At 44.4% G+C, this 16,234-nt stretch overlaps 1 protein-coding gene and 1 long non-coding RNA gene across 2 annotated transcripts in view; both read left to right on the top strand.

The window, feature by feature from the left end:
- LOC107987247 (uncharacterized) overlaps nucleotides 1-1,683 on the top strand; it is a 51,173-nt gene extending 49,490 nt beyond the window's left edge. Inside the window, exon 5 of the long non-coding RNA XR_002958159.2 lies at nucleotides 875-1,683. This is a non-coding gene — a long non-coding RNA (uncharacterized LOC107987247). The remainder of the gene's footprint in view (nucleotides 1-874) is intronic.
- Nucleotides 1-16,234, top strand: part of ASIC2 (acid sensing ion channel subunit 2) — a 1,143,682-nt gene that overhangs the window by 135,361 nt on the left and 992,087 nt on the right. The window lies entirely within an intron of this gene.

The raw sequence follows: 16,234 nt of genomic DNA, 5'->3' as shown, positions 1-16,234 counted from the left end.
AGGCAGGTATCGGCCAGATAATGCTAGAGGCAGATCCAGGGCAGGGGCCATATAGACTTTTCCAGAGAGATTGAAGTCTAGTACTTATGCAAGATTGCAGGGCCCTGAGTGATGGTGGTAGGGAGTGATGGCAGTAGTCTATTTTTTTTTTTTAATTTGTTTGTTATTTCAATAGGTTTCTAGAGAGCAGGTGGTGTTTGGTTACATGAGTAAGTTCTTTAGTGCTGATTTCTGAGATTTTGGTGCACCCGTCACCCAAGCAGTGTACACAGTACCCAATGTGTAGTCTTTTATCCCTTGACACCCTCCCAGCCTTTTCCCCGAGTCCCCAGAGTCCACCGTATCATTCTTATGATGGCAGTAGTCTTGATACTGGTGAGGAACATGGAGACAGGAATGGGTGGGAGTGACAGTCATGGTATTGGGTGATAATAATTTGGTGGTAGTGGTGATGGTAGTGTGATGGTGATTGTATTACTTTTCTATTGTTATATAACCAATCACCATAAACTTAGCAACTTAAAACAATACACATTTGTTATCTCAGTTTCTGTAGGTCAGAAGTCTGGATGAGCTCCACCAGCTCCTCCAGTAAGGGTTTCAGGATGCTGAAATCACGGTGCGGGCGGGGCTGCATTCCTTCCTGGAGGTCCTGGGAAAGAATGTTTCTGAGCTCCTTTAGGTTGTTGGCCAAATTCAGTTCCTTGCAGTTGTAGAACTGAGGTCCTCATTTTCTTGAGGTTGTCAGCTGGGAGCTGGGCTTTGCTCCTGGAGGCTTCTGGTTTTTTCTCATGCTTTCTATATTACTCCCTCTGACAACAGTACATTGAGTTCCTCTATCACTCAAATCTCTCTAACTTCTTCTGCTCGACAGGTCTGACTCAGAGAGAAAGTTCCCTGCTTTCAAGATCTCATGTGAAGTTAGGTTGGGAAGGAGAGCAAGCAGTGATGAGTTCTATGGAAACTACCTCCCATGATCTCCCCACCAGAGCCCAACTCAGCCATACTCTTGAACTTGGATCTGGGGCAGTGGCCCTCAAGGGCTAGCTGAACTGGAGTTGATGACATTTGAAGATCTGAGATGTCAAGGCAGTTAGAGTAAAGAGGCTGCCAGGCGGAGTGGAGCCATTTATTCATTCATTCAACACGTATTTATTGAGCCAGGTCTACTATGGCCCAGGGACCACCAGATACTGGAAAACAGGGCAAAATACACTGATAAAAATAATGACTTTGGTCATGCAAACTGCAATTATGCTGTTAATATTAGTGTGGTAGATTAAATGTAGCCACAATTTTTTTGCAAAAAATATCAAGAGATGAGGCATTTTTCCCTATCCCTGAGACCAGTCTCACTTTGGGGCTTCCTTTGGCCAAAGCGTGTGGCAGGAGTAATGCTTCCGGAGTCTAGGCCTCAAGAGTCCTTGTAGCTTCTGTTTTATTCTCTTGGAACCTGGAGATCATACCATAAAGAAGTCTGAGATGAAAGACCATGAAGACAAAGGCCCAGGTGTCCCAGCTGAGCCCAGGCCTCAGAAAACTTGGAGCTGAATGCAGCCACTTGAGCAAGCTCAGGTTAGAACTATCTGGCCAGCTCTCAGAATCATGACAAATACAGTCATACTTTGGAGATATTGTGGGTTTGATTCCAGACCACCACAATAAAGCAAATGTCACAATAAAGTGAGTCGCAGAAATTTCTTGGTTCCTCAGTGCATATAAAAGTTATTGTTACACTATACTGTAGTCTATTAAATGTGCATTTGCATTACTTCTAAATAAAACAATGTTTATACGTTAATTAGAAATACTTCATTGCTAAAAAATGTTAATGATCATCTGAACCTTCATCCAGTTATAATCTTTTTGCTGGTGGAGGGTCTTGCCTCAGTGTTGATGGCTTCTGACTGAGGAGGGTGGTAGTTGCTGAAAGTTGGAGTGGCTTTGGTGATTTCTTAAAATAAGACAACACTGAAGTTTGCTGCAGTGATTGACTCTTGTTTTCATGAAAGATTTATTTGTGGCATGCGATGCTGTTTGACTGCATTTTACCCACAGTAGTACTTCTTTCAAAATTGGAGTCAGTCCTCTCAAACCATGCTGCTACTCTATTGACTAAGTTTATGGAATATTCTCAATCCTTTGTTGTCATTTCAACAGTGTCTTTGCTAGGAGTAGATTCTGTCTCAAGAATCTACTTTGGCCAGGCGTGGTGGCTCAAGCCTGTAATCCCGCACTTTGAGAGGCCAAGGAGGGCGGATCATGAGGTCAGGAGATCAAGACCATCCTGGCTAACACAGCGAAACCCCGTCTCTACTAAAAAATACAAAAAATTAGCCAGGCGTGGTGGCGGGCGCCTGTAGTCCCAGCTACTCGGGAGGCTGAGGCAGGAGAATGGCATGAACCTGGGAGGTGGAGCTTGCAGTGAGCCAAGATCGCGCCACTGCACTCCAGCCTGGGTGACAGAGCGAGACTCCGTCTCAAAAAAAAAAACAAACAAAAAGAAGTCACTTTATTTGCTCATCTATAAAAAACAACCCCTCATCTGTTAAGATTATATCATGAGATTGCAGCAATTCAGTCAATGTGAGAACTACAGTGAAGTAACTTTATGATTCTTCTTAAACCTTAGAAAGATGTCATTTCAAGCTCCACTTCTAAATGTAGTTCTCTTGCTATTTCTACCACATCTGCAGTTACATTCCTCATTGAAGTCTTGAAACCCTCACAGTCACCCATGAGGGTTGGAATCAACTTCTTCCAAACCTCTGTTAATATTAACATTTTGACTGCTTCCTATGAATCACAGATGTTCTTAATTATATCTAGAATGGTGATTTTCAATTTACTTTGCCCAAATTCATGAGAGGAATCACTAATCACTATCTGTGGCAGCTATAGCCTCATGAAATGAATTTCTTAAATAATAATAATTGAAAGTCACAATTACTCTTTGATTCATGGGCTGCAGAATGATTGTTGTGTTAGCAGGCATGAAAACATCAATCTCCTTGTACGTCTTCATCAGAACTCTTGGGTCACCAGATGCATTGTCAATGGCAGTAATATTTTTACAGGAATATTTGTTTTTGTGCAGTAGATCTCAACAGTGTGCTTAAAATATTCAGTAAACCATGCTGTAAACAGATATACTGACATCCAGGCTTTGTTGTTCCACTTATAGAGCACAGACAGTGTAGATTTAGTATAATTATTAAGGGCCCTAGGATTTTCAGATATCAAATGAGCATTGGCTTCAACTTAAAGTCTCTGACTGCATTCAGAGCCTAACAAGAGAGTCAGCCTGTTCATTGAAGCTTTGAAGCCAGATATTGACCTCTCCTTTTGGGTTATGGAAGTCCTAGATGGTGTCTTATTCCAATATAAGGCTGTTCCATCTACATAGAAAATCTACTGTTTAGTGTGGTCACCTTTGTCAATTATTTTAGCTAGATCTTCTGAATAACTAGCCACAACTTCCACATCAGCATTTGCTGCTTCACCTTGCACTTTTATGCAAGGTGAAGATACATACAAGGAGATGGTTTCTTTTCCTAAATCTTATGAACCAACTTTTGCTAGCTTCAAACTTTACTTCTGCAGCTTTCTCACCTCTCTCAGATGTCATAGAACTGAAGAGAACTGGGTCCTTGCTCTGGATTAGGCTTTGGCTTAAGGGAATGCTGTTACTGGTTTGATTTTCTATCCAGACCACCAAAACTTTCTGAATATCAGCAACAAGGCTGTTTTGCTTTCTTATCATTTGTGTGTTCACTGGAATAGCACTTGTAATTTCCTTCAAGAGCTTCTCCTTTGCATTCACAACTTGGCTAACTTTTTGGTGCAAGAGGACTAGCTTTTGGCCTTTTTGGCTTTCAGCATGCCTTCCTCACTAAGCTTAATCATTTCTAGCTTTTCATTTAAAGTCAGAAATGTGTTGCTCTTCTTTTCACTTGAATATTTAGAAAGCATTGTAGGGTTCTTAATTAGCCTAATTTCAATATTGTTGGGTGTCAGGGAATAGTGAGGCCAGGGGAAAGGGGAAGAGATAGGAGAATGACTAGTTGGTTAAGCAGTCAGAACACATACACCATTTATTGATTAAGTTTGCCATCTTATATAAGTGAGATTCATGATGCCCCCAAACAATTACATCAGTAACATCAAAGGTCACCGATCACAGATCACCATAACAGATATAATGGTAATGAAAAAGTTTGAAATATTGTGAGAATTCCCAAAATGTGAGACAGAAACACAAAGTGAGCACATGCTATTTGACAAATGATGCTAATAGACTTGCTCCATGCATAACCTTTAACTTGTAAAAAACACAGTATCTGTGAAGTGTATTAAATCATGGTGCAATAAAGTAAGGTATGCCTGTGATGAAACTATTGCTATTTAAGCCACTGTGTTTTAAAGTAGTTGGTAACACAGCAATAGATAACCAAAATAATGAGGCACATTTCAGGTTTTCATTTTATTCTGATAAACTAAAATGTTAAGCATCCTGATGAATATCTTAGGCTTTGTAAATTTTTAAAAGCACTTACAATTGTTGTTGATCTGTGATCTATCCTTCCGATTGTTTAAAAGTAACATATAAACATGATACAAATATCCAAACACTGCAGGAGGGTAGAAAATGAAAGTCAAAGTCATCTTCCACACCTAGATCCCCAATCCATTTCTTCAAAGTTAAACACTGTTAAAAATTTCTTCTGGATCCTTCCAGTAAAGATAGGTTACACACACACATGCATATCTATAGCTATGCCAATATCTATAACCATCTCCTTTTTTATATATAGCAACTGTATTAAATATACTGTTTTGCACTTTGGTGGGGTTTTATTTTCACTATTTGTTTACCTCAAACACATTTCCATCATCTGGGGACCTATTTCATAATGTTGCGCTGTAAAGATGGATTCATGATGGGCAGTTGCATTGTTTCTTTTTTTTTTTTTTTTTTTTTTTTGAGACGGAGTCTCGCTCTTTCGTCCAGGCTGGATTGTAGTGGCGGGATCTCAGCTCACTGCAAGCTCCGCCTCCCGGGTTCACGCCGTTCTCCTGCCTCAGCCTCCCGAGTAGCTGTGACTACAGGTGCCCACCACCGCGCCTGGCCAATTTTTTGTGTTTTTAGTAAAGACGGGGTTTCACCGTGTTATCCAGGATGGTCTTGATCTCCTGACCTGGTGATCCACCTGCCTCGGCCTCCCAAAGTGCTGGGATTACAGGCATGAGCCACTGTGCCTGGCCATGGGCAGTTGCATTGTTTCTAATCCTGAATATACATATGAGCACATCTTATACTTTTGCTTACATATCGATGGATATTGCTTGCATGTTCTGGACGAAAGGACATGTTCATTTTATGTTTTGAGAGGTACATTTATTTTGACAGTCCAATATAAAAAGAGTTTTGTGACCATTGTAGCATCTGCTCTATATACTTAAAATGTATTATCCCATATGAGCCTCATGGTAGGCACGTGAGTTGGTCATCTCCCCATTTTATAAAAAGAGAAACTGAATCTTAAGAGGTTGGGCATTTGCCCAAGGTCACACAACTAGTAAAATGTTTTGTTTGTTTGTTTTTTATTTTGTTTAACCTAAACGTCTTACTATTTCACAAGGACCAAAGGAGTTGGCAAAGTCCAAACCTAAAACATGCTAAGAAAATCTTATTACGAAAGGAATATAGAATTAGAGTTTTCTCATTCATGTACTCTTCTGTGGCCATCATAGGGTAGCTGATTTCTCCAGAACATGAGATTTTTGAAATGATGAAGATGAGGGCTTATTGTAAAAAAATTCCACAACATCCCTGTGAGAAGGGAGGAGGCAGCAGCCTCTGAGATAGGAGAGCAGATGCTCTGTAGCAGAGCCTCGCCCCTGGGCCTCATGAAGCTGAGATGAGCCATACATGGCCTGGCCGGATGGCACTCCAACAGGATCACACTCAACATTCTTTGGCCTGGAATCCCTGGTAGGCTCTCAGCTGTGGGAGCCTTGCATTTCCTGTGGAATTCAGCTGTGAACTAAAACCTTGACAGGGCAGCCCAAGACCACTACAGGGAAACTGGACTGTGATGAGGTTTAAACTGGAGTCTCTACCCTTGCACATTGGAAGTAAGAGCCTTTCTGTCACCCCAAATTGTAGCCCCAGACTTAAAGATGAAGAGCGGGGATAGGCTAGGCATAGTTGCTCGTCCCTGTAGTCCCAGCACTTGGGGAGGCCAAGGCAGATAGATCTCTTGAGCCCAGGAGTTTGAGACCAGCCTGGGCAATGTAACAAAGCCCCGTATCTACAAAAAAAAAAAAAAAAAAAAAGGCAGAAGAAAGAAAAATTAGCGAAGTGTGGTGGTGCACACCTGTAGTCCCAGCTACTTGGAAGTCTGAAGTGGGAGGATTGTTTGAGCCTGTGAGGTCGAGGATTCAGTGAGCCGTGATTGTGCCACTGCACATCAGCCTGGGTGACAGAGCAAGACTCAGAAAAAAAAAAAATGCAGCGATATTATTTCCAAGAGGATTAAGGCGGAGGGATCTGGGATAAAAGAAACTACTAATTGTGAGTGAGTACCTAACACATGCCAAGCATTCTATATGCATCGTTCCCATTAAGCCTTGCAACATGCATGGGGAGCTATCCATGTCCCCATTTCAGAGATAAGGAAGCAGAGGTTCAAGGGCTCAGTTTTCAGAAGTGGGCCTCAAGGTCTGGACCAGATTGGCAGCTAGGGTGTTCTAGGCTTCTGTTCTGAAGCTGCTTGGTTTCTGCCTGCCTGTGGCCACGTTTGGTGTTTGAGAGCAGAGCAGGGCTGGGCCTTGCACCTAGGTGTCTGTGGACGGGGCCTGGAAGCTACCCAAAGCCTGAGAAAAGGAGTTCATATTTAGGGCACCCTTTCTTACTTTACCCACTCCCTGCATTCTGCTCAGGGAGGTTACATAGCATAGCCAATGTCTCGAGCTCCTGATGGTGGCACCCCAAACTGAATGCAAAGCCCAGAAACTTACTGCCAGATGAGGGAGGAAGAGTGGCATAATGGTTAGAGCACAGGCTCCGGCCAAACCACCTGGTTTCACATCTGGAGCCTTGCCACATGGTAGCTATGGGTGACCATCAAGTTAACCTCTCTGTGCCTTGATTTCCTCTCCTGTAGAAGCAGATTAAAAGCATTACTTACCTCATTTAGTTTATTGAAATCATGAAGTAAGTTAATTCACATAAAGAGCTGAGAATAGTGCCTGGCACATAGTAAGTACCCAATAAATGGGAATTTCCTTTATTACTCCCCCAAACTATCACCATGTCCAGTAATGAACCAAGAGCAGCTCTAGGAGAGGAGAAAAGGAAGGGGAGACTCCCTTTACCAAGTTGACTCTCCCCTCTGGGGTGCTGGCTATCCTAAGGTCTCTTAGCCGGATAGACTGGCAGACTCCCTGCTTTGAACCTGCCTGGTGTCCATCTGTCCACGATGTATCCCATACCCCTTATCTATCAGGGCCAGGCACACTGAGGGCTGCGGGGTAAAGAAAGCAGAGGCCATCTGATCTATTATTCAGGTGCCCCCTGCCTGGAGAGTGCATGCACATGTCTGAGGGTAAAGGTAGGACAAGGAAACCAGGTAAAGAGAAGTCCTGGGCCCTCCAGTCAGAAGCCTCTTCATATGCTGACTCTACCCTTTAGCAATGTGGCCTGGAGAAGCGACTTACCCTCTCAGAGCCCCAGTTTCCTCATCTTCCATAACAGCACCCATGTGGTGTGACTGGCAAGGAATAGGCCTTCAGTGGCTTCTCTTCCTGGCCACCTAGCCCTGAAGCCCCTCATCTTGTCTCAGCACAGCCTTTCATTTGTTCATAAACTCCTTATTCTGCATCTTCTATGCTAGGCACTGGGAATGCAGGGATGGTTAAAACAGACACAACCTCTCTCCTCAAGGGTCTTATTGACTCCATTGCATGTATGGCAAATTGCAAAGGGGACCGTTAGGAACTGTAGGAGCTGCCCCAGGAAGAGACCTTTGCAGAGGACCTGGAAGGGGGTGGGCCTGGGAGGCGGAGCATTCTAGTTCTACAGTCTGTGTTCCAGTTGGATCTCTCAGGCCCACACTTTCCCACCCTTCCTATGCTGTGCTCCACCCAACCCCAGGGACAACATCTCGTCTCAGCTCCCTGTTGACATGGAGACTCCTCTGACAAACTCTCCCTCTGGTTACCCCAGGATTCCACTGCCAGTTGGCCCCCGTCTATCCTTCCTTTCTTTGCCTGGAGCTCCCAGGCACATCTGATTCCATCAAATCCAATTTTCTCCCTTTCCATCAGGTTCCCCTCTCCAGGGGGGTTGAGCCAGGGCACATGATCAACTATTTCAGTGAGGCTGTCCCCCTCACTGCTTCCTGACTCAAAGCAGGGGGGCTGCCTCCTCCAGAGCCAGGTGGGGAAGTGGGGGACATTGCCCTGAGAAAATGGTGCTTTCTGTTGTCATGGCAACTGTTGCTAGGTGTCACCAGGAACCCACACTAGCGCTTGACCTTCCCAGGAAAAAAGCAGGGCTCTGAGTGAGACCTGAACTCTTTCCCTGGGCTGAGTTAGTTTGCCTCATTCATTCATTCATTTATTCAATAAACATTTTCTATGTACTGTGACTGTGGTAGTCTCCGGGAATTTAGAAAAAAAAAAATCATTCTCTGTCCATAAGGAGTTCAATATAGTAGGAGAGAAAAAAATGCAAATCTAAGGTGATATTGGGCCGCATGAGGGTTATACTGAAAATCTAAACAGGGCACTCTGAGACCAGAAAGAGGCATTTAACCCTTTCTAAAGGCTGAGAGGGCTCATCAGGAAAAGCTCCCTAAAGGGGGCAACAGTGGTGTTGAATATTTAATTATTTAAAGCAGACCAAGAATCACAGGGAGGCCATGCAGCCTGTAGCAGTACCCAGGCCAGTTGTGGGATGTGCAACCGCATGAAAATGTTCGAGTAAAAATAGTCTGGAAAATCCGTGGTATTGCATATGTTTCAAGGGAGTGGCACCAGAGAAGGCTGAGACGTTTAGTGGAGATAGGCTATAAAGATGCTGGGACTGCATCCTTCAGACAGGTAGCTACTGTCTAAATGTGGCTTGGGATGGCATGTTACAATTGGAGGCATCGAGATATTTCTGTGGGTTGGGTCATGGTGGTTCGGGGGCCTGGAGTTTCTCATCAATGAGGTGTTCAGGTTTCCGTGACCGCTTGAATGCAATGGATTACAAGGAATGGGAAGGAAATCTGGATTGACTTCTAGACTCCCCCTGGCTTGGTGTCAGGCAGGGATGGTGTTGCAAATAACCAAAATAAGGGGAGGGAGGAAGGAGGGAGGTGGTGGCAGAACAGAGAAAAGTTGGTAAGTTCAGTCTGGCCTCCTGGAGGTGCCTGCAGGAACCATGAGTGAAAATGCCCAACTGACTGCTATTGACCTGAGATGTCAGGTGCAAGGCACAGGTGTCCATGAGGGCTGAGGCCAGGACCTTGGGACACAGGAGTGTCTGAAGGGTAAACTGCTGAACACTGAGAAGGAGCACTCAGAGAAGGGGCGGGGAGTGGGGTGAGTGGTGTCACAGGAGCCAGAAGGGAGCGAGCCATGGGGTCAGATGCTACTTAAAAGTCTGGTAATATGAGGACTAAAAGGAGTGCATTTGATTTGGCAATTAGCCCCTTTGTGACTTTGCTGGAGAGGTTTCCATGGAGTGGTGGAGGCAGAGGGCTGAGGAGTGCTGGGAGGAGTGGAGGCGGAGGCCATGCCTATTAACCTCTCCTTCAAGGAGCTCAGCGGCAAAGGGAAGGAGAGATGGGCTAGGGAGGAGGGCGGGGAATGGAGGATTTCTAGCATGTAGGGAATTCAAACACATTGTGGGTTGTTGAGAAGAAGCCATGGGAGGGGGAGGTTAAAGACATTGGGCTATGAATGGGAGGTGGAGAGGTAGCCAGTGTTGCCTGTGAACTGGATATGTTGCTGGGAGTTACCTGCAAAATAGAGTGTAGCCCTTGCCTTAGTGAGTGACCTGAGCCCAAAAAAATAGACCTTAAGTGGGAAGCAAGGCTGGGGGCAGGTAGGAGGAAGGCACGGGCATGAAAACAGAAAGGGCCAAGGTATGTGCGTCTATGTGTGTGGCTGCGTTTCTGTTTCAGTGTGTCTGTGGGTCTGTGTCTGTATATGTCTATGTGTGTGTGCATCTGTGCATGTTTGACTGGAGGCATCTCTATGTGTCTATGTGTGTGTGTGTGTGCCTGTGTCTGACTCAAGGCATCTGTGTGTGTCTGTGTGTGTGTGTGCATGTGTCTGCCTGGAGGCATGTGTGTGTCTGTGTGTGTGTGTGTGTGTGTGCATGTGTCTGACTTTGGCATCTGTGTGTGTGTGTGTCTGACTAGAGGTATGTGTGTGTGCGTGTGCATGTGTCTGACTGCAGGAATCTGTGTGTGTCTGTGTATGTGTGTTTGTGCATGTGTCTGACTAGAAGCATTAATTAAGACAACACTCTGAGCAGGGGTTGCAGTGGATTGAAGGAGCCTGGAGTGTTTTATTGGTAAGTTGTTTAGGTTTTTGTAGCCACTTGAATCAGTGGGTTGTGTGTGGGTGGGTGTGTCTGTGTGTGTATCTATGGGTCTGAGTGTTTGTATGGGTGTTTCTCTGTACATGTCTGTGTGTGTCTGTGTGGTTATGTCTGTGTATATCCCTGTGTGTATTTCTGTGTGTGGGTGGGTGTCTGTTTCTGTGTGCCTCTCTGTGTGTTTTTGTATGTTTGTGCGTATCTGTGTGTGTTAGAATCACATCATAGGGCATGTGTCAGAGTTGAAAAAACCCTGAGACATCATCTAGGCCAACGTCAACACAGTTGATCAAAAGAAGGCATCAGTCCCAGAGACATGGAGGGATAACTCAAGGTCCCAGAGAACAAAGGACAGAATCAGCTGCACTTTGGTCTCCAGATGGACTGTGCACAGCTTGAGCACCCAGGATACAGCCCAGTGGTGGAGTTCTTTTCAGAAGGGGAGGCCACTAGAGGCTTTAGAGCTTGCTGGCACCTCAGGGGCTGGTGCTCTTCTTTACCAGTGCTCATTTGGGTTATATCAAAATTGTTCCACAGTCTGAACTCAAAGGTCCAGCCCCAGATAGGTCAAAGTCACCTCGGAACATTTTCCCTGAGCCCTGGGTAAAGCCCAACCTAAGGAATGACCAGGTGATTCATATCCCCACTGCCCAATAGTTAAGGGCTGACTCACCCCTGCCCACCAGCCCAGGAGCAAAACCAGATACGTGGAGCCTCCCCTGATACTCTGGTGCTCAAACTCATGTGTGACAACCCTCTGTGCACTGCAAGTCAGAGTGGGTCGATGCTGCTGTTACAGCGGGAATTTCATTTCCGCCTGGATGTCTCATTTTGTCATCTCATTTGGTGACAAATCAAGGTGATTTATAGGGAGCAAGCCTGCATTTAGTGTGATGGTCTCATTCAAAATGTTAGCTCCTCATGCACCCCTCCCGTTACTGCCCTGACCTCACTCAATGGATATCTGTACATTCAGAAATAGAGAAATAAGGCTGGGGTTCTGAAAGCTCTAGCTCATTCCAATCCCCAAATTCAGGTCATTGCCAATGAGATGGGCAAGAGCTGATCTAAACTCCTCAAGGCCTGTTTTTAAACATTTAGCAGAAATGCCCCCTGCTGCAATATAAACCAGCATGTGCTTGGGATAAATGGTACTTACTTCCCTCAGAGCAGAGCTGTCTAATAGAAATATAATGTGAGCCTCATATGTGATTCAAATTTTTCTAATAGTCACATTTTAAAAAGTTAAAAGCAAGGGGTGGAATTAGTTCTTATAATGTCTTTTATTTAACCCAATATATCCAAAATAATATCATTTCAACATGTAATATGTATAAAAAATTATTAAAGAGATATTTTATATTCTTTTTTTGAGCTAAGTCTTCAGGACTCTGATAAGTATTTTACATTGACAGCCATTCTCATTTCAGACCTGCCACACTGCAGGCGCTCAATAACCTAGTGTGGCTGGTGGCTTTCACATTGGATGATGCAGCCTTGGGGCATCTCTAGGCTGCTGCTAGACACAAGGAATATGGTTGTTCTTTTAGATGATGCTGAGCTGAGGGCTCTGGATCTCAGTTTCTCCATCTGCGGAGTGAGGGCGATAGTCTCTGTTCATTTGACTTCCCAGAGGTGGTCTCTCCAAGTCGAATAGGACTCCCATTTTCCGGGCTGTTATTCTGAGAAATGATAAAACAGGATTACAAAATGGTGGGCTGGGAAAAAAAAAAAGGTGGACTGTGCTAAATATTTGCATTTAACAAATCTCTGTCTCAAATATCCCAAAATGGCCACATCTGTTTCTATAACCTCATTTAGGAATCAAAAGTCTAAATTTGAGGCTAAATCCAAATGTGAAGCCCCAGGCAAATGTCTTTCATGCCCAAATGTCCTTGTTGTCAGTTCTCTCCACTTCCATAATCTCCACTCTGATAGACTTTTCATTTTTGAAAAACAAATGCACATGTTCTCTGCAAACTCTGTACATGCTTGGGATGGCTAGGGGAGCTGCAGCCTTCGCTTTGGGCAAGGAAGAACCAGGGTGCTGGAGAAGGGTTTCTGGAACTCTCAAAGAGTGGAGGAATGGGAGGGAAGGGCCTCCATACAGGGGCCAAGTGTGTGAGTACAGGGAGGGAAGGCCCTTCCCTTGTCACAATAACAAATTCCTAGATATGTATGACTCCTCAGGCCCATTCCTGCAGCATTGGTCTCTCTCTCCCTCTCTCTTTCTCTCTCAGACAGACAAACCCAGGTTCAGCTTGCTGATTTTCTCTCCTTTCTGCCTAATCATGGCATGGTTTGTAGGGAGCTACTACATACCAGTCATTTGCAAGAAGAGATGATTTTCTTGCCCTAGAATCACTCTAAGATTCAGAAAGGACAAAGAAGATGAATGAGTCCCTCCCCTGGGTGTCATCTTGTCCCAGCCTCAATCTTAACAAGCTGTAACTCAGTGCCAAGCATAGAGTATGAGATTTAAAAAAGAGACTGATTCATGGCTTGGCTTACTGTAGAACAAGTTTGGGCGGGTCATTTCAACTTTCTGGTCTTTAGTTTCTCCATTCTGACATAGTGCCATCTCCCTGAGAATAGGAACTCTGCTTAGCACAGTGTCTGGAATAGTATAGTGACATAATTACTGCATTTGGAGAATGGTTAAATGTATGCATCAGTAAAATGGGATGAATAAAAATACCTGATTTTTTGTTGATTGTTTTGAGCCAAATGAGGAACTATACTGTACATACGCACATGAGCCACCTTCCCAGCCCCATCCATGCTAAAGGAAGAACTAATGATTTACCTATTTAGAAACTCAAAGAAACTGAGTGATTGAAAAATGAACCAAGGAGTATGTTTGTGTGTTGGAGGGGGTGGGGGAGCCTTCCTATGTAAGACATACTAAATACATTTTCATTGGGGGTATTTAGTGCATCTTACCTAGGAATTACCATTAGGCAACTGTAAAGCGTTTCTGCTTCTAAAATCAGCAAGCTCTTTTGGGGATGCTTTTGGGAACACCCTGCAAAGGGATTGGGAGAAACGAGGTTTGATGCCAGCTCTTGGACATGCATGCTCTAGAAGGAGGCAGGATGCAGTTTCAAAGCAGTGTTGAAGAGGAGAGGTGGCACAGAATGCTGAAAAGAGCACTGGACCAGGAGTTAGGAGACCTGGGACCTCATTCTGGCTCTGCCATGCATTCCATGTGATATCAGGCAAGTCATTTGCCCTCTGGGCTTGGGTACCTCCTCTGTTAAGGTTGATGTTGAATGCCAGATAATGTCTTCTGGCCCTTTGAGCACTACTCTGAGTTAAGTGTAAGCAGCTTATCCCAGCACTCCCAGTCTAGAACACAGCTACCTCCTTATTCTGCCAAAGCAAGAAGTTCTGTGTGCTGGGTTGGCAGTCAGGAAGAGTGAATTTCCATTCACTTCACAAGCACATTCACCTCCCCAGGGTGAGTAGTTTAGCAACAGTGAAGTTGCTGAAACCTGACTTTGGCAGAAGATGAGTTCAAAGGCTCCCTGACGGGGCACATCCTCCAATATGGGAGTTGCCCTTTTTGACAAGTAAGTGTAGGGGAATGAACTCCAGACTTAGGTTAGGAGACTTGAGCTCTAAAATCGATTTTGATGCTAACTCTCCTGTCACTTCAGAATCTTCCTTCCCCCCTCTGGGCTGCTGTTACCTTCCAGGAAAAGATGCCATTTGCTTTGATTATTTCAGAGTCCTTCATATTGTGGTCTTCCATGTCATGTCCCTTCCATGAGGCATGGTCAAACCAGGATGGGGATATCTGGCTGGTTTCCCACTCCTCTAGGCAGCTTGTTCATCTCTGTAAAATATCACCACTGGATGATCAGGCGTTTTAGCTGCCAGAAGTAGAGATCAGTTCTGACAGAGTAGACCTTGACCAAATCTCAAGCTACTCAGACTTCAGTTTGCAAAACAAACAACTAAAGAAAAAAAACCCACCAACAACAATAACAACAACGAAGACCAACTTATCTAGTTCCTATGCCCAGGAGTGTAAATCTGCCCTCTCCATGGGTCAGCCCCTTTTGATATTTCGGGTTTTGTCTTAGAGGTCTACTCTGATGTGATCGTTACAAAATTTACACATGTATCAAATCATCACATTGTTCCCCATGAATATATATAATGATTCTGTATCAATCAAAACTAAAAAATAAATATTTTTAAAAATAAGTGAAAATACCTTAAGAAAAATAAGATAACAATGGCTCTCACCTAAGAAAAACCTAAAAAGTAGGTGATATGAGTCTGATTTTCAGGTGAGGAACCTGAAGGTCAGAGTAATCATTTAAAACTCAAATTCAGTCATGTCACTTCCCAGCTTAAAACAAGTCAACACCTTCCTATTGCACCTGGAAATGAATCCACACTCTGCCCATCTCCTCCATCCCATTTCATCCTGCACTGGGCCACACTCTGGGCTGCAGCCACCCTGGCCTCTGCCAGAGCCTCGTTCATGCATGCCAGACTCTCTCCACTCCGTGAACTTTTGCACATGCTGATTCTTCCTCCTGGAAAGCTCTCCCAGCTCTTCAGCTGGAGGGCTCCTTCAAATCCTAAACACTTCAGCTTTAAATGCCATCGCCTCAGAGAAGCCTCTTAGGAGAATCCTAAGTAATCCCCTTCTAGCAATTAGTCTTTATCAGGGCACCAACTGCATCCTTCACGTGTTTCACAATTTAAATTTCTTATTGAGTTGCTGGCTTATTTATTTTTGGTCTGTCTTTCCCATTTGGCTATAAGCCCCAGGAGGACAGAAGCCATGATTGTTTATTCACCCCAATGGATCCGGTGCCTAACACAGTGCATGGCATACGCATATGTGGAAAGCAGACATGTTTGAAGGGCTCCAGCAATGCAAACATGACTCAGATGAAGGTCTTTGCTTTCAAAGATCTCATGATCAAATCAGGAAGGGGCACAAAGAGATGGCCACAGTTGAGTATGATCTTTTCTCCAGTAGATGTAAGTAAGTGACACTACAGCATCAGGGTACACAACTGTTAACTCTGCAGGCAAGGGCCACCGTGGGTAGTCAGGGAAGACTTTGCAGCAGAGATAATGTTTTGGTTTACATGTTGAAGACTAAGTAGAGATTTATTTGTGAGAGCTCCAGGTAAAATCATCCCAGAAAGGTGGATCTATATGAATGGTGGCCCAGAGGTGTGGAGAATAAGTGAGAATGAGGCATTTGGAGGAAAGTAAGTGTCTTTATGTGATGTGTATAGAGGAGCTTTTGAGGGCGGGGGGAACTAGAAGTGGCCAACTGTACCAAGCTCAGGAGACTCAACACTATCCTAAAGATAACAGGGGGAGAGAAAAAGGTGTTCAGTAGAGGAATAATCATATTTAAGTTTAGCTTTTAAAAACTTTTTTAAATTATAAAAATAATCCATACTCACTGTAGAAAAGTTTGAAGATAATAGAAACGTATCGAGAAACCAATGATCTGTGGCCAGCATGTAGGTGAGCCCCACTGGCAGTGTGTCCAGCACCAGGATGAGAAAGGGGTTGGAGCAGGCTGGGACTGGAGGCAGAAGAGCCCTTTATGAGCCTTACAGGAGTAAAAAGGGAGAGTTGATGAGGGCCTGAGCCTAG

Source organism: Homo sapiens, chromosome 17 (assembly GCF_000001405.40).
Source record: "Homo sapiens chromosome 17, GRCh38.p14 Primary Assembly".
NCBI classification, from domain to species: Eukaryota; Metazoa; Chordata; class Mammalia; order Primates; family Hominidae; genus Homo; species Homo sapiens.
This window is presented reverse-complemented; position numbering and strand designations above follow the sequence as displayed.